The sequence below is a fragment of the Homo sapiens genome, chromosome 5 (genome assembly GCF_000001405.40).
Source record: "Homo sapiens chromosome 5, GRCh38.p14 Primary Assembly".
NCBI classification, from domain to species: Eukaryota; Metazoa; Chordata; class Mammalia; order Primates; family Hominidae; genus Homo; species Homo sapiens.
Genome location: NC_000005.10, coordinates 143,135,615 through 143,154,926, shown reverse-complemented (window position 1 = coordinate 143,154,926; position 19,312 = coordinate 143,135,615). Strand labels below are relative to the sequence as shown.

The 19,312-nt window shown below is 42.4% G+C and overlaps 1 protein-coding gene across 35 annotated transcripts in view; it reads right to left on the bottom strand.

The window, feature by feature from the left end:
- ARHGAP26 (Rho GTPase activating protein 26) overlaps window positions 1-19,312 on the bottom strand; it is a 458,635-nt gene that overhangs the window by 74,085 nt on the left and 365,238 nt on the right. For all 35 annotated transcript variants that reach the window (NR_146198.2, XR_007058592.1, XR_007058593.1 and 32 more), the window contains one exon: window positions 7,546-7,696. Coding sequence is in view for 32 of the 35 variants with exons in the window: in NM_015071.6 (NP_055886.1) it covers window positions 7,546-7,696 (151 nt within the window). In the remaining 3 variants the exon portion in view is untranslated. The remainder of the gene's footprint in view (window positions 1-7,545; window positions 7,697-19,312) is intronic.

The following is a 19,312-nucleotide window of genomic DNA, read 5'->3' as shown; positions in this document are numbered from 1 at the left end:
AGCAGCCTGTTTGGGTGTAACCCTTTGGCATAAAATAGCATGGGGATGGTAAAATTGCTTTTTAAAAAAAAAAATGCTATGAATTATCACTTGTCTAATGCATATTATTCATTTTGCCATTCATTTGGTCTCAATAAATAACAGCTATGCACACAATTATCAGGTACCCTGTGGGATTCAGAGGTTTCCAAATCTTTCAGGAACAGGGTGTGGCGTGTCTACCCTAGCTGGTCTTGCTTTAAGGAGGGGTAGCACCTGCCTCTACAGCAGAAGTTCCTTCCTCCTCTTCACTGATCACTTAAAGCCTGGACTGAGTTATAGCTCCAGTCTCAGATTCAAGGTAGGAGGCTGGTGGGGGAAGGTGAGTGGGACAGCCTGGGACATTTCTCTGCACAGGAAAAATACATACCATGGCTGAGGGACTGGAGAAAAAGTAAGGACAGTTTGTGGGGGGAGCCCTCCAAAATAATACTATTAATTGCCATACACAGTACTAAAATACGTAAGTAAAAGATGATCTTAATTTTCATGCCACCTATTTGAGGAGGTTATGATCACACTATTTTACAGATGAGAAAACTGAGGTACAGAGAGCTAAAGTCACTTGCCTCCTTCTCCTCCAAATCCCTATCTCCTTGGTTCTCCATTAGTTTTCTCCCTGGGACTTCTCAATATACTGTGTGACATACTGTGTTAAACACTGATTTATCTCCTGTCTCCACTAGAATATAAAATCCATGAAAGCAGAAACTCTTTTTTTTTTTTTAATATTTTTAAATCACTGTATCTTCAGCACTCAGACCACCACCAGGCCCACAGTAGGAGTTCAATTGACATTTGTGGAATGAATGTTGACCAACTAAAGTGGAAGATTAGTAAAATTTGAGAGATATCTCTGAAGGCAAGTTTTCCCTGAATTTCATCAGAGAACAGCTGAATCAAACTCAGAAGAAGCCAGCAATGTTTCAGAGAAACAACTCTGTCTGGACGCAGGCCTTGTTTATCCTTTGAATTCCAGGGACTGTTCTCTGGCCACTAAGACAGGAGAAGAAGGTTGACTCTGGCAGAATCTGCAGGCGTTTGGCATGCGTGCGTCTTTTAGGTCACCAGAAATAACTTGGAAATGCATGAGCGTGTGTGTTAAGACAGAAGGACGAGAAAAATTAGTTTTATTTATGAGGCTACTGAGCAGTTAGTTATTTTTTAGGGGTGGGGACCACTTAGGCAGAGAGAACTCCAAGGTTGGGTTCCATCATTGCAGTAATCATCCCAGCCCTCCTAGCTTTCTTTCAATCTTTCAATCTTTGTGGTCTAAAGAAGGCATTTACCTAGTAGTTTCTAATTTGGGGAAATTACTGCAGCATGTTATGTCCCTGGTGGGGCATTCCCTGACTTCTTTCTCAGCATTTGTTTACTTCCTCCTTTAAAATCACTCTCTCCCAGAAAGGAGTTGGCATGATGCCCCACTGGTCACTGTGGAAGGAGAGAATGATTTATTTCTGCAGCCCTCAGTAAGCACCCATTGAACGACCCTCATCCTTGGAGGTGGATCAGCCCCATTTCTTCCACCAGAGACAGTGGAAGATGGTGGTAGTGGGCATGCTCAGGTCCAGAGACCAGTATCATCAGCCAGGCAATGTCGATGCCAGAACTAAAACCTAGGGTTTCCTGCTTTCCATTCCAATATTTGAGCCACCTTTCTTGTTTGCCTCAGCCATTAGCCATAAATTTTGTTTCCCAAATTTCTTAGAATCTCAGTTACAAGTTGTTTTCTTTCCAAGAAGATTCTGAAAACCGAGAGGCTAGTCTCCATGCTGCACTATACTATAGTGAGACTCTTCCATACCTTTCTATTCATGCAGACAGCTCAGCCCCATCCCAAGACAGCTGCCCATGACTCCGCGGTCACAAACTCACAGGACTTGTGTCAGTTTACTATCACTGCATATTAAACCACCCTAAACTCACTGGGTTCCAATAATCACAATGTGATATTTATCATGAATCTATAGGTTGTCTGGGAAGCTTTGGCTGGTCTTGCCTGACTAACCCAGGTGGCTGCATTCAACTGACTGGTGGTCCCAATGCTGAGCTGCGCTGAGAGAGATAGCTGGGCTTCTCTCTCCAGTAATCCGTCATCTTTAAGGAGGCTACAACAGGCTTCTTTACATGGTGACTGGGTTCCAAGAGAATGAGAGAGAAAGCTGTGAGGCATTGTGGCCTGGGCCTGGGAAGGCACATGATGTCACTTCCTCCACATTCTATTGGCCAAAATAAGTCAAAGGGTAAAGGTCAGCCTAGATTCAAGGGCTCCAGCTCTTAATGGGAGGGGTTGCAAAGATTCTATGGCCATTTTTAATCTACTATGGGCCTACAGGCATTAGGTATAAAAGTGAAGCAGGCCAGCTGTGAGATTATAGAGACCAGAGAGTATCATCTGCTCCCAAGTTTCACATAGGTTTAGTGTAACCAACTCTTCTGACACTTCAAAAGAAGCTGGAAATCTGGATTTAAAAAGATGTGTTAATAGACTCTATTTTTTAGAGCAGTTTTGGGTTTACAGAAAAATTGCATGAAAGTTTTACACATACCCTCTCTATTTCTACATTCTGAGTTTCCTTAATTATTAACATCTTGCATTAACGCGATACACTGGTTACAACTCATGAACCAATATTTATATTGGTTCATTATTATTAAAGGTCATAGTTTACATTAGCATTCAGTCTTTGTGTTCTATGGGTTTTGACAAATGCATAATGTCTTGTGTATATCCCATTCCAGCATCATACAGAATAGTCTCACCGCGAAAAAAATACCCTGTGCTCCAAATATTCATCCCTCTTCCTCTCCCCAGAATCCCTGGCAATCACTGATCTTCTTATTGATTCCATAATTTTGCATGTTCCAGAAAGCCATATAGTTGGTATCATATCATACTGTAGTCTTCTCAGATTGATTTCTTTTTTTTGAGATGGAGTCTTGCTCGGTAGCCCAGGCTGGAGTGCGGTGGCACGATCTCAGCTCACTGCAACCTCTGCCTCCCAGGTTCAACCCATTCTCCTGCCTCAGCCTCCTGAGCCTGGGACTACAGGCTCACACCATCATGCCCAGCTAATTTTTTTGCATTTTTAGTAGAGATGGGGTTTCACCATGTTGTCCAGGCTGGTCTCAAACTCCTGACCTCAAGCGATCTGCCTGCCTTGGCCTCCCAAAGTGCTGGGATTACAGGTGTGAGCCACTGCACCCCGCCAGACTGACTTCTTTTACTCAGCAATATGCATTAAAAGTTCCTCCATGTCTTTTCATGGCTGGAGAGTTCACTTTTTAAAATCATTGAATAATATAGCATTGTCTGCGTGCACCATAGTTTGTTTATCCATTTTCACATACTGATAGACATCTTGGTTGCTTCCCAAGTTTTGGCAATTATAAATAAAGCTTCTAACAAAATCCATGTGCAGGTTTTTGTGTAGACATAAATTTCAACTCATTTGGGTAAATACCAAAGAACATGATTGCTGGATTGTATGCTTAGAATATGTTTGGTTTTGTGAAAAACCACCAAACTGTCTTCTAAAAATGGCTGTATCACTTTGTATTCCCACCAGTAATGAGTGAGAGTTCCCACTGCTCCACATCCTAGCCAGCATTTGATGTTGTCAGTGTTCTGGAATTTTGGCCATTCTCAGAGGTGTGTAGTGGTATCTCACTGTTGTTTTTATTTGTATTTCCCTGAAGACATAAGACGTGAATCATATTTTTATATGCTTACTTGACACCTGTATGTCCTTTTTGATGAGGTATCTGTTCATATTTTTTGCTCATATTTTAATTGGGTTCTTTGTTTACTTATTATTGAATTTTAAGAGTTCTCTGTATATTTTGGATACTGGTCCTTTATCAGATATGTGTTTTGCAAATATTTTCTCCTAGTGTGTGGCTTGTCTTTTCATTCTCTTGAGTGTCTTTCACAGAGCAGAAGTTTTTAGTTTAAACACAGTCCAACTTAAGTTTTTATCTCACAGATTATACTTTTAACGTTGTATCTAAAAAGTCATAATTATACCCAAGGCCACCTAGGTTTTCTCCTATGTTATCTTCTAGAGGTTTTACAGTTTTGCATTTTACATTTAGACCTATGGTCCATTTGGAATCAATTTCTGTGAAAGGTATAATGTCTGTATCTAGATTCATTTTTGTGTATATGGATGTCCAGTTGTTCCAGCATGAAATCTGAATTTTATGTGAAGACTCCTGATTTTAAAGGTTTGTTCAAGTCTTTTTTTGGTGGTAGTGGTACCAGAGGAATTCCAGCTCCCTCCTCCCCTAATACACATGTCTGCAGAATGCATTTATCCATCCTGGATAATCTCTGCCTCCTTCATCCTTCTTACCTGGAATGCTCTTCATCCATCCACCTAAGTTTTTCCTAATGCCCACCTCACACTCCATCTACCCGACCTTTTCCACTACTTCGACCTAGTGTGTGCACTCACCACATATTCAGTTGACAGTGGTTGAACTCTGAACACATTATGACTTGTAAGTCCCCATTAGCACTGCCATATGCCACTGCCTTTCTTTCTTAGCTAGACTGTGAACTCTTGGGGAAGACAGGAACCCTCTTATTCCGGTTTACCCCAGGTAGCTTGGCATGCATGGGTCTGGGCATAAAATAGGTTCAGCCACAGTTGCTAACAATTTCAGACTAGCTGGACTTTGGTCCTGACTTACCAATTGTCCTTTGTTCTTCAGGAGAGATGGCTACTTCAGGAGTCAAGCTGAGGACCTGCCAAAGATTTAAACCCAGCAGCCTTGCCCTGGCACAGGTAGAATGATGGCCTCTCTAATTTTGATGCCTGATTTAGCATTACATTCATGTAAATAAGAGGGCCCTGATGTCCTTGGAGAATTAGGAAAGATTAGTAATACAGCAAAATGTATTATCAGAGGTACCACTGTATTATGAGTAACAAACATGTTTCTTTCACTATGATTTCTCTCTGGTCATAATGATATCCCAGTCATTATGAAAAATAGTGAAATAAAGGAGTGAAATAAAAAGAACAGATAGCTTCCTGGTGACTGGTTCCCTACCTCATGCATAATTAATAGTCAAGTTAATGGTAATCCTCCCAGCCCACCTTTGTTCTTTATTTTCATCTGCATCATTAAGTGTTCCCACTGGAGGATCTCTGGACACTTCCAACTCAACAACGATGGAGGGAACAAAAGGGTCCACACCTGAGGCTGAGACCCAAGTCGTCTCAGGTGATTGTTACCGTGGCACGTCTGTGTGCCGACAGATTTCTCAGAATCAAATTGCTCAGGGAAAGTACTGTGGGTCCATTTGTTAGGACTGCCTAACAGCCATGCATGATCCACACCAGCAAATCCCAGGCAGAAAATATCAGGGAGACAGGATCCCAGGAAAATCACCTCACTGCCTGGGGTTTGAGAAGTGGCTGCGAGCCTGCCTGCAGAGCTTATGGGGGACTTTGACATGGCTCTCACTCAGGGCCATGGCAGACGCTGGTATCAGGGCTGATGCTGGTACTGCTTCTACCTCAGGAACAACCTTCCCTGACCTCAAGACCCAAAGGTATCAATCAGCGACTCACTCAGCTTGGAAGGACAGTGGTCTTGTTGGAGGCACACCCACACTTCTTTTTCTAATTCTCCTCCAGAGACAATTAGAACCGTTCCTGTTATCACCCTCCCTTCCCCAGGAAAGCCCCCCAGATCTGTACCAGGCAGGCAACAGTCCCTCTGGGTGGTGTGAAGTGGGCAGAGCGATTCCCAGGATGTTATGAAAATAAATCGTATCTAGACACCTAAAAAACAAAAAATCCCAAGCCTTCTCCTCAGGACCTGTTTAAAAGACACACCTCCCCTTTTCCACTTAGCTGCTTAAGCAACCTCTTTGTACACACTGTACTCAGCAGTGACTCAGGGGCCCACAGTTACCAGCCACTGAAAAGAAAATTACAGACCACTAGTTGGTAGCGGCTGGCTAAAATCAGGGGATGTTAAGCAACTTGGGCTAGAAATTCAACCTTGCTCATACAGAGCAAGGAATCACTTCAGCAACTGCTAGGTACAGAAAATTAAACCAACTGAAGAAAAAAACAAGTAAAGAAAATAGAATCTCCCTAAAGTCTAGGAAAGTGGGTATAGGAGAACCTGAGAAGGTCAAACCTCAAGGCAGGGAGGCTCCCTAGGCAAGCCCAGCCATGGAGAACCGGAAGAGACTCACTGCCCATAAGCCAAACAAATTCAATTATTTTGAGGTCCTGAGGCACTGGTCCACTTCTTGGTGAAGGAACATGTGATTTACCACTCAACAGGCAAATAATTAAACTTCCTGAACATCAGTATGATTTAAAGCTGCCAACAACTAAAAAGATCTTATATTCTCAGTTTCAGATTTCATCCTACAGTATAGTCACATTTTTATTATGTACCTCTTAAGTCCATTTGGAGTCATCTCTCCTCCCAAGCATTTAATAGCCCTTAGTGTCTTCTAAGGCAGAAATTATCAGACTCATTTTGCAGATTTGTAAATATCTCACAGCAATTGAATGGCAGGGTGCTGTCATGAAACTATGGCATGTGGAGGAGCAGGAAAAGGTTACCGACATCCTAGCATCTCACCGCCATGCTAGCGTCTCCCCACGTGAAACAACTGCCCTGAAGACAGTCTGTGGCTGAACCTCAATGTATTTTCACTTAGAGAATGGGAAAATCATCTGTTTTTCCTGAGTCTTACATAACTGTAGCCTGAGAGTCCAACTGTTCCGGTCATGGCCTCACATTCTTTCTGCAAAGGCGCTAGTTGACAAGATTTATGGGGTAGTCTAAGGAAGCATGTGAAGCAATGTGGGGTTGAAACCATGAGGGAGAACTTTCTGATCCTAGCAGAGTAGACCTAGTTTCTGTGGAGGGCTAGACAACCAGCCCCCAAACTAATTGTCCTGACTATGGGTGCTCAATGCTGAAAAATAAAGCAAAAAGGGTTCTTCTCTTTCATAGTCTCTGTCAAGAAGTCATAGTCATGCTAAGGTTTGAGGATGTGAAGACACAAAGGGCTCCTGGGGGCTCTTCCTTATGGAAGTGGACATGGAGTTGGCATTGAACATTTCCAACATAGTCAGTGGGGAGGGAAACCGAGACAACATAGATGAGTGAAACAAACTCGGCCACAGAGCTGCTACAGTCCCTGGACGTTTGTAAAACTTACAGAAATTGCTTTTCATGCCTAGCAGCCAGCACAGGCAATAGCTATCACCAAAGCCATCTCAGCAGGACAGTAAATCAAAAATCACCAAGGCTAAGAAGCAGTATGTTAAGAATAACGACTCCCTCTGAGATGATGATGCTTTAAAAACCCACAACAAGCCAGCTGAGCTCCCAGTTTAGGGAGGAGGTTTAAATAATGTTCAGGGGATAATGGTCCAAAGTCAGATGGAGCCAGACAGCAAATTCTAGGTGGAATGGCTGACCAAAGCCCTTGTGGGGTAGGCAGCTGGACATCATACTTACAGTGAGTTGGGCCGGGTGGGTTTGACCACAGCCAGGTCTGGGTCACTGGAGTTCATGTTGGGCTGTAAGCTGCTGCTGGAATTAAGGATGCTGTTTGGATTTGATGAGACAGATTCCAAACTGGAGTTGATGATGCTGTTCCTTTGTTCCTCTGGGGGGGAAAAGCCACAAGTCCCATATTAATATTATTGCATAGGGACAGTCTATTGCTACATGCACAAAAATGTATAAAGAATAAGACTGGATCAAGATCTCTGATCCCAGGGAAGCTTAAGAAACAACATAGAAAAGGTTAAGAATTAAAAGTGGGAAAGGAAGAGTCAAGGGGGAACAGGTGACTCGAAATTTTAAAGCAAACCCCTTTCCTCGTCATAACAGGATATATCTCCCCTTTAATATAAGCCAGGATTTTTTCTAAGAGTGGCCCTACTATGGCACCATAAATTGCATCTTCTTTTGACTGGCAGATTGCCAGAGTAGAGAAAAGCCTCCACAGACCCCTCACATTCACCCAGATCCCCTTGGCTTCTGTGACACTCACCTTTTATTCTAAAACTCCTGCCTCTAATATTGCTCTAATTGATCAGGCCATGTCCCACCTCCAATTCCATAGAGCCTCACCAGAGAAGATCTACTATTTAGCCACCAATGTCCTTACGACTCCACCAGTCTAAATTCCTGACCCTTTCTCAGACACATCTTTCTGTGTTGCCTCTAGCTCCATGTACTTGGTGTTTGACTTCAAGTGAATTCTTTGATAAATCGCTCTGTAATGGGCTGCAGAATGGTTTGCCTATAAACAACAACAAAACACTTGAGTCCATAGTCCCAGCAGTCATATTCATGCTTGGAGAATACTGCCAAGCCAAGAGACAGAAAACCTGAGTTCTCTTCAAGCCCTGACTGGCTATGTGGCCTCAGGCAATTTCTACTTGATCTTGGATTCCTGGTTAACAATCTATAAAATGGGGAGAACAAGAACTGCCTTTCACAGCTTGTGGAACTGTCATGAGGATCAAGTGGGATCATAGGCAGGAATGTATCTTGTAAACTTCAGAACACTGCTCAAAGAACAGAACTTTATGTTCTTCCCATCTTTAAAAACTTGGAATCATAAATGGAAAACACAAATTTTGGAGATAATTTAGCTAAATGGTACCAGCATCCACCATTACTGTAGCAAAATATTATAGATGTGGAATGTGATTCTTGTCCCCTATTTATTACAGATATACCATATTAAAATCAACTGATATTTCTGAAAATTAATTCACTTAAACATCATATCTAGGCTAATCCTGGACCTTTTTGCAGCGAGTCAGGGGTATGTTACAATATATCCCTCAGAGTACAGTCTAGAGTCACTGGTATGATAATTTAAAGGCCAATATTTGAACTCAGGTCTCTTTAGGCAATTAAGAGGGTGATGTGTCATAAAAATACTTTTCCCTTTGCACGAGTCATGTATGTAAAAATAAAGTATGCTTACAAAGTGATTCTAGAGTAAGCCTCACGTTAAATACATACACATTCACCCCAATACCCCTGATATCTTAGCAAATCCTTAATGCCCTAGATAAAGCCCCACAGGAGAGAGAAAAACCCTGTGAGGCTAGCTCCTGACTACTGTACTCAAAGTAGATTTGGAAAAAGTAGATTGAATTGATGCCTGAGATTTAAAACTGTTCATATTTTAAGAGCTTCGTTTTTGAACAGAAACGACAACAAAGAGAAACCAAAAGAGTTACACTGAGCCAAGATGTAGGAGGACTAACAGGGCCTGTAAATGGGAACTTCCTACCAGAAAGAAAAACAACGCTAAGATTACATAATAAGGGGATCATTGAGAGATTGGATGTGCCATTTATCAGTATGAATCAGTATCAGTAAAATTTTCCTTTTCACAAGACACGCATACAAAGATGCCCGAAAGACCATGAGGAACTGGAGGCTACCATATAAAGAGAGAGAGTGAGGACGGTTCCCTGGGCTTCAACTGGAGACATTTACTGCTTCACAGGACAGGAAGAAAAACAGTTGTATTAACTTTAGTTTGAGAAGCTTAAAGGGCTAAGTTTGCATGGCATAATTCTCAGAATTCTTAGGGAACAGAAGAGCATAACTATTGCTCACATTTCTCCTGTGATTATATTTACTTTTCCAGGAGAGGATTATCATTCTACAAACTAAAAACAATATCTTGCTAAAAGTATATTCGTCTTTCTAAAATGTTACCAGGAGATTATTTTTCTCCCTTACTATCCATTAGTAAAGGAGGGTATAAAAATGTATCATAAGGCTTCATAGTTTTACAGCCAAGAGGGCCAAATATGCATCTTGAAAGGCTGACTCTTTATTGGTATCCCTTGCTGGGCCATATGACAAGAAAACCCAGAAACCTGGCATTCCCTGACTATAAAACGACTACAGTTTTGTAGAAGAAAGGTCTCATCATCTGTAGACAACACATAATGAGACTGAGAACATCTAGGTAGAAGATCAAAGCCAAAAGGCTGACAATCTTTACTGACGGTAAGTAGGCAGGTGAGGATTATTCCAGGGAAAGAGTAGAGAATAAGACCAACAGCCAATCAAATGTTTTAGTGGTTATAGCAAACTATACCAAGACAAATTTTACAGCATTTGGAGTCAATTAGGAAATAAGGAGAAAATGAGCCAAGCATAGTGGTTCATGCCTGTAATCCCATCGCCTTCAGAGGCCAAGGTGGGAGGATCACTTGAGGCCAAGAGTTTGAGATCAACCTGGTAAACACAGTGAGACCCCCATCTCTACAAAAAAAGTTAAAAATTAGCCAGGCCTGGTGGTACACACCTGTGGTCCCATGTACTTGGGAGGCTGAGGCAGGAGAACTGCTTCAGCCTGGGAGTTCAAGGCTGTGGTGAGGTATGATGGTGCCAAAGCACTCCAGCCTAGGTGACAGAGCAAGACTCTGCCTCCTTTAAAAAATAATAATAATAATAAAGAAAAAATGATCCCGTAATGTCACTCGAAACAGGAAAGTTTTTCATCAGCTAGGCAAATGAGTACTGCTCCTGACAGAAGCGCACAAGAACAGGCAGCCTAGAAGACACTTTAAAAAATAAAAATTAAAATTAAGCAAATCCTTCAAATAACATAGCTAGACTTCCCTGAGTCACTGATGATTCAATCCAGCTCTGGTATCCTCATAGAAGGTATAAGAAGGACTGATGGCAATTATGTTGCTGAAGGAAAAAAATTATAGGCTAGTGGGCTTCAAAAGAAAAACAGCTAGTTATGAGTCAAGTCAACAAGATCACAGAGGACCATGTCAAAAAGGAAAGAATGCCCACAACTCAGGAGTATGCCTAAACTGGTTGAAGTCAGTGAGAATGCTTGCCCGCCTCAAACATGTTTGTCAACAGGAATCTGTCTTTGTATCAATCACAGAAAACAAGACCTCAGCAACAAGAACATGATAAAATAAATCCCCAAATAATGGTAAGCATGCATTGGCAGTGCTTTCACAAACATATGTTCTATAAGGAGTGACAAACTGCATGTGAACTTGGTCCTTAAGGATGCAAACTACCCGAGGGCAGGGACATGCTGTCTGGCCATACAGCATCCATTAACGTGGCAGGTGAGGTCACCATTAGCCATCCATTCCTGGTGCCTAGCCCATGGGTCACTGACACTAAGGCTCCGTGAATGGTTATAAGATAAATATTAAATATAAGGGAATAATACACAGTCAAAAATTTATGCTGCTGGAACAGAAAGGGGTAGTTTTGCGTGACTGAATTTTTCAGGTGCTTTAGACAGGGACCATAAATGTCCTTGAAACCAAAGTACTGATGACAGTGGGCAGAGTTTTTGTTTTTTGTACAAATCAGGAACGGAAAAACATGAGTATGCAACCAAATCACTGCAACTAAAAAAGGAAAGCCGCAGAATAATTTTGGTGATATTGTACTTGTTCTGGGGGTTGCCATGGAAATCTGGGAGCTAAGCGACTTCACTTTCCATATTTACCAAGTGACTCCGACCCACTCTAATGGCAACCCCATCACACAGGGGAGGCAGGAGCTCTGTTTATCACAGAACCCAGAGGCGAGGCCAGGAAAGCACTCACAGAGCCAAGCCAAATTCACACGTCTTGGCAGGCCCGAACAGGTCTGGCTCACTGAATACACAGAGCTGGAGGGTAAATACGAAACATTTGCGGGAGGTTTCCCCCCATGCATGGGACTCTGTCAGAATACAGGCTAATATCCCAACTTTCCATGGTGCCTAAGAGTAGAGGGCAAAAAGAAGAGGCAAGAGGACTGTTCTTTAACAGCATCTCAGGATGCCTCATAGAGCCAAAAGGAGGGAACAGACTCTCCACATGATCAAACAAGGAGAAAAGGGAGTTACCAGACAGAGCGAAGTTTTACAAAGACAAGGAGATTTATATTAAAAAAAATAGGAAGGCAAACACAAAATACCCAGAGGCTTTCCTGTGCTGTGGTCAGGAGAGAGGTGTACTTTCTCCTACTTGTTAAAGTTTTGCAATGAAGTCTGTAATGTATCATCTTGACAAGATGGGATGATAATAGCACAGCAGCTTAATGAATTTTGCAATAAAAAGTGATGAGTGCACAGCAATTTCTGAGTTTACCATCTCTGGGAAATACCCAAGTACATGGGAAGCTTGGAATCAGACTTTCTGAAGCAATTTTTACCCCCTGTAGCTCTTGTTCCTGATAATAGTGACATGCCAAGCCACACTAAAATCTGAGGTGGTCTCATTTCAGGCTGACCCAGCAGCCTCAGTCCCTATGATAAAAACAAACTTAAAAAGCAGTCTGCGTAATATGTTTGGGTATATAAAAACAGTTTGGACAATGTTTTTTTTTTAAAAAAATCTTAAAAAGGAGTTTGGGTGATGATAGACTCTATACATTGAGTTGAAAAGTAGGCCGGGCGCAGTGGCTCATGCTTGTAATCCCAGCACTTTGGGAGGCCGAGGCAGGTGGATCACAAGGTCAGGAGTTCGAGACTAGCAGCCTGGCCAGTATGGTGAAACCCCATCTCTACTAAAAGTACAAAATTTAGCTGGGCGTGGTGGCGGGCGCATGCAGTCCCAGCTACTCAGGAGGCTAAGGCGGGAGAATCACTTGAACCCGGGAGGCGAAGGTTGCAGTGAGCCAAGATCGTGCCACTGCACTCCACAGCCTAGGCGACAGAGCAAGACTGTCTCAAAAAAAAAAAAAAAAAAAAAAGTGAAAAGTAGAGTCAATCTGTTGTTTTGATCATAGTACATGAAAGATGATATTAAAACCTTTGACAGATTATCTTCAGCAAAACGACTTCTGATTTTGGTTCTGTGTGGACAGACTGACTCCCTGCAGCACCTGTAATAACCCTTTTCTTTGCAAAGGGAAAAAATGCCAATAAAACTGAATTTCATGAGAGAATGGGGAAGTCACTGTGGGTGGCCTGGGATTGCACTGATCCACAGGAAAGAGACGTGGAGGCACAATGAGGAAGACTGGCCCTAAAACACCATTTCAGAAACCGCAAAGGAGGAATGGGCCTCTGATGAATGTTGACTAGGGGGTTGAATGATCAGAGTTAAATGGACACTGTATTACTCACAAGACAGCCCTCTTTTCTATGTGAGACTTGCTTTTAGGAAAAGTTGGTTTCCCGTTAACTTACAGTTGACTGGGATCTGAGGGAGTCCACGTACAGACGGCTTATATTCTTGCTCATTAGAAGGAAACTACACACCTACTTTTATACCATGACTCACAGCAAAATGGGTTTGAGATAGTACATGAAAGGTGCAATTAGGGAGTTTTGTTTTTAATAACTTAAAACCAAGTGAATATATAAGAAATATGCATTTCTCTCCAATTTAGAAAGTCTAGAAAAGCATTTGCATCTGCACACAGATATCCCGTATGGGCCACGCTCCAGTTGTATTCATTTTGGTGTGTAAATGTCCAATCGATCTGCTACACAGAGGAATATATACATATACACACACACAGACATGTACTTTTTTAACGAAGCAGACTCACATCATACTTAATGGTATCTGCTTTGTTCACTTGGTGATAGTGCCAAAAGTATGCGCCTAGAATGGCTTGTTTTCATTTAATGGGTCTAGCTGGAACTTTTTTCCTGCCACCAGCTTTCCACAGCATCATTTTTTAATAGCCACATTATCAACGTGGTTTTCAGTCACGTGTAGTAATTACACATAGTTAACCCAAGAAACACATTACACACCTTCTGCAGCCCGTGTGACAACAGGAATCCATGTGAATAAACATGTCATCTGCCAAAGCAAACAGGTGTGCCCAGGGCACCCGGGATCTGCAAAGGCAACCTGAGAAAGGGCACATGCTACAGCTTTGACTGCTCAGAGAAAGGCATTACGTAAGCCTTTGAATAGTATGAATTCCCAGTCATTTTTCAACAAGGAAGACACACATGAGAAATATATAAGCTGAATTCTCAACCTCTCACTGGGCCTGTCTGGGAGAGGGTCTAGGATGAATTAACGGAACTAAAAAAATTATTCAGAGCTATAATCTCAGCAGCTAGTTAACATGATCCATGTAAAACAAGGCCCAAGAATCCACTCCTGCCCCCACCCCCACCCCCACCGACACTGTACAATGTGTCCTAGGCTGCTGATGTTTTTGCACTCAAGCCTCAGACAGGCTGTCTCAGGGGCCGGGGGGAATCTGCATTTCCCTCACATATGGGCCTCTCTTTTGGAATCTGCAGGCTCCAAAGGGAAGGATATTTCCTTAGTCAGTTGTAAGATACAACTACAGCGTGATGATAATCATCATAATTGTAGCTAACATTTATTAGGTGCTTACTATGGTCTAGGCCCAATGTCAAGTACTTTATATATACTGGCTCACTTAATCATGGCAATTACCCTCCAAGGAAGCTATTATTAGTGATAGATTTTACAGATGAGAAAATGGAGGCTCAGAAAAGGAAAGTAACGTACTCCAGGTCTCAGAGTGGTAGGTGATAGAGATGACATTAAAACATCTCAGTCTGACTGCAGAGCCTCCACTTTCAACCACCATGCCAGGGTGCTCCAAACTCCAACAGTGATTCAAAGAGATGTTCTGCTAATGACAGAAGACAAGCCACCCTGACTGTCCCCACCTTCCCAAGCCAGTACTTCTCTAAATTGAGTTAGCATCAGTATCACTAGGGTGCTTTAAAAATATAGATGCTTGAGCCCCAGCCAAGACCTCCTGACTCAGAATATCCTGGGTAGGAGACCAAGCATCTGTATTTTTAACAAGCTCCCTACAAGATTCAAATGCACACTCAAGTCTATGAACCACTGTTCCAAGAAACGCATTTCAACATCTTGGTATAAATGCTAAAAATTTGGGACAGAATAAATCCTAAGTGTCACTTTGCAAACCCTTGGAAGAAATCTATAAGGTACAAGACCTTGTTGCTGGCTCCCTTCAATCCTTCTGGCTCCCCCTTCTACAGTCGTCCAGAAAAAGCACAGCGTGTGTGTCAGTACCTTTCACCTAGATGTACCAGTACAGTCTCTGCTGGATGGTGTATCTGTGTGGAAACTTGGAGATTAAAGAGTAATCTCCTTTGCTGCCATTCATCTGGGAGCACAGTTGAAAAACCTCGTTCCATCTGTTCGAAGGTGATCGCAAATGAGCGTGAGTGGCTTGGCCGAGCATATTAAAGCTACCATTCAACACATATCGCTCTCTGTGTAGTTGGTGCTAGATTTGGAGGGGAGACTGTCACGTGGCTGCAGCCTGCCAGGACGCACATTGAGGTACCCATTCAATATGGTTCAACTGCCCCCATGTAGCCCTGGAAGCTGGAACAGATGGTTTTCATTGCTTCTGTAACTCAGGCTAGCAAGGTTTTCACTTCTGTAGCTCAAGAACTGACAAAGGTACCCTTTTGGAGATAACAAAGTATAGGGAAGGAAGACTAGAAGACTACCTGGGTACAAATCCCTTCTCTGCCATTTGCTGACAGTGTAACTGCTTAACCTCTTGACCTCAGTTTACTTGTCTGTAAAATGTGGATATAAGAACCTACCTCACAGGATTATCATCAATTGTGGGGATGACACGAGATAATGAGGTTAGTAGGCACATAAGTAGAGCTATAATTATTTTTATTTTTATTGTTATTATTAGATGAGGTTCAAATTTAGTTTGGCCTGAAAGTTCTTTACCAAATGTATCCATTTGTACTTCCACCCCAGCCCCTCAGCATTTTACCGGCAGATGCCCAGCTGAATGAAACTTTGAACTCCAGGTTCTTAAGTGGAACTGGAAACATTTTCCCTTGGAGATAAGGAAGAGTTCGCGGACTAGGTCACAACAGCTAACCCTAAAAGAATGCATCTCCTGGGGAACCATCCCACAATTTGAAAGCAAAATAACGACTGGTTAACAGTGTCACTTTGAGGTAGAATGACAGGGTTCAAATCTACGTTGTTGCCGTGTAACCCTGAGCGTACACTATTTAATGTAAATTTTATTTCCTTTCGACTGTAAAACAGGGACAGTACCTGTGTCATATAATTTTAAAGATTAGTTGGGCTGTTGTGGTGCACAATGTCCAACACAAGAAACCACCTGGTAAGTTATATAGTCATAGATATTAAACACAGACAAGAAAAAAATCAATTTCTAGGGAAAACGTCTTCCAGGTTCAGTTTGGCTAAATCACCTTTCTACAGTTCTCTCCGCAGTTCTACAGACAAGAGCTGCCCACTGCTACTCACAGAGAGACTCTCCCATCACAGACCACCGTTCCTATCTATTGGGCCAGAATGGGACCCTTCATATCATTTTGTATCTTTCTCAAAACTCTTCCTTTCAGAAAACCTTCCTTGACTGTCTACAGATAACTTTGATATCTAGCTCCTTCCTCACTAAAATATTCAGTGGTTTCCTGATGGTTTGTATTTGTTGCTACGATGCTTTCTAAATCCTGCATTTCCCCATCATTCCCTTTCCTCTTGTCCACAAAGTTTTCATCTCAGAGGCTGCTCCCATTTCACTCCTAGCCCCATTTCCATCACACATTGCCTATGATATGAGGAGCGACTTGCTGTCTTATAACTGACCTAAGTCCCTGCCCAGCACAGAGCATGAGAAACCATCAAGCTCCTCATTCTGAGAATAGACCACAGCTTTACGTTTAGGAAAAGGAAAACAAAACAAAACAAAACACAAAACCACCTAGAGAAGACTATACTAATACCCATAGATTAAAGAGAGAGAGTCGCAGGCAGGGACCTGGGCACACAACTGGTCTACTCACACTGTAGGAAAAACCCCTTCTGGCAAATAAGACACACATCTATGAGCATATTCTAATATCCCAGACCATGAGCCTGAAGTGCAGGTGCAAAGGCAGAGGCCTGAGCCTGAGGAGCTTCTTCTCTGGGAAGGAAGAGGCAAATGACAATCCAAGGCCAAGATTCACCTCTAAGAGCAAACAGTGGGCTCCAACTTTTGCACAGAGTAAGGACACTGCAGAGAGGCTGGGAGAAAAATGTATGCTGCCAACAGCACCTGGAGTCTCTTTGAGGGAAATACCTAAGTGAGCTACTCTGGAAGCCTCAACCCCACTAAGCATTTCAACTGCGGACTGGAGAGAGGACTGACAAATGGAATGCCAAATAAACATTAACTTGCAAGTGCATCAATGAAGAGAAAAAGGAGAATGACTGGACTCAAAAGGGATCAGGTGGACAGACTTATCAAAAGAAATGAGGTTCTGAAAATGATCGCAGGGCAAGTGTGAAGGTAGAGGAGAGGTATGCGGGAGTGCGCATGTGCATGTGCCTATGGGTGCATGTGTGCCCTCACAGCATATCCCTCCAACCAGGTATCTGCTCTGTGGCAAGAACCTGAAGAAAGGTAAGGTCGCATCAAACCAGGACAGGTGTCACTATGAACTGAAAGGGCACAGCAGGAAACTGACATGAACGGCAAGTGTCCACAGCCCACTGACAATATCTGAACCCAATTCTAGTTGAGTGGAGGAAAGGAACTTGAGTTTCTATACTTAAATTAAGAGGAAGGATGGAAGTCAGTCAAAATTAAAAGCCAGTTTGTGGATTCCAAACAGTGATATGCATTCCACAAGTGGGACACAAAATAATTCTAAGGTGGGATATGGATGACCACTTTCCATCTTAATGGTTACATGTTTATTTTAACATATATTAGAGAATAATACAGTGAGACCATTGAAGTCGTGTTCTTAGAGGTCTTATGTATCAGGATGAAGCCAGGGAAAGAAGTGAGTTGCTTTAAGGTTAACTTAAAGAAGTATATTAAATAAGTCACAGTGCATGAGCTATGTGGCTGTGGCACAAATGGTGAATGAGGGGTTATGTACATGACTGGCATTTGGGAAGCACTGAGCTAGGTGTGTCAGGAGGCCTCAAACTGAAATCACTGTTATATGGAAATATATACCTTTTTTCACAAATTATTACATTTGCATAATCGTTACCTGTACTTTAATGCCAAACAGTAAATTCAGCAAAGTGCTAGGATAAAGTTTTCTGTCTTTGTCCATAGACCAGACAAAGAGAAAGGTGAAGTGTGTGAAAACTTCACAGTGCATTATCATCTGCTCACCCGACAGTGACGGGTGGCTGGATTACAACCTGGGAGGGAGCAGGTCCCAGCAGAACCTTCCAGCTCCTAGCTCAGTCTTCCCCAGTCAACTCTCCCACTGCCCCCCCACAGGGTGCCTTCCATGCCGGTTTGGATAGTATGCTAGCTTCGCAGAAAAAAAGGGGTCTCTAAAACAAACCAATATATACACACAGACACCCATATAAATTGCAGTTAAAGAACACACAGACTTGCAGTTAAAATGTTTATTCTCTGAGAAAGGAGGGAAAGTTAGGCTCCCTACAAATATCTGAGCATATCTGTATGCTCCGGTCATGTTTCCAGGGAGCATTTCCTAACATTTAGAGAAAGGCCCTATTGTTCACTGTCTTCTCCTTTTGCATCCCCTGTCTACCATCTGCAGACATGGACAGAGCAGCTTGCTCTGCAGCTGAGACAGACCTGCTTTCACACATCCTTAACTTTCATCCTCTGCCTTGTGTGATAAAATTAATCTTGGACAAAGATCTAGCTGATTTTCTCCTGATCTCCATCTTCATTCTTATGAGCTCCCAGAGAATGCTTTAAAGCCTATTCCAAAGCTGCTTCTGCTTCATTCTAACCACATACCCAGCACTATTTTAAGCTTAGGGAATTTACCAATACTGTCTAGCCTCTCCTAATCTACACCGTACACTGATAAGTACAAAACATTAGGTGACCGTGGCTGTCCTGGAAACCTGAGAAGCACATTACCCCATAGCCTGATGCCTCATTCATTCAGCAGGTGTGAGTGAGGCCAGTTCTGTTCCAAGTGTTCCCTGGTACACTCGCAGGGGCCCAGGCCACGTGCAGACCACAGTGAGAATGACCCCAGCCAGATATTTAAAAGGAACACAGGCTACTGTTAGAAGGAAAGCCAATCCCAGGACAGGGTCAAAGTCCTGAAACGTTGTATATCTGTTGACCTAGAAATTATTCTAAGAATTTATCTAAAGAAATGTTCATGAAAAAAGAGCAGATTTAGTTACAAGGATGTTAATAGTAGCTTTACTTATAAAAGCAAAATATTTGAAACAACCCGAATGATGCTAAATATACCAAGGTACAGCCACATGATGAGATTCAATGACAT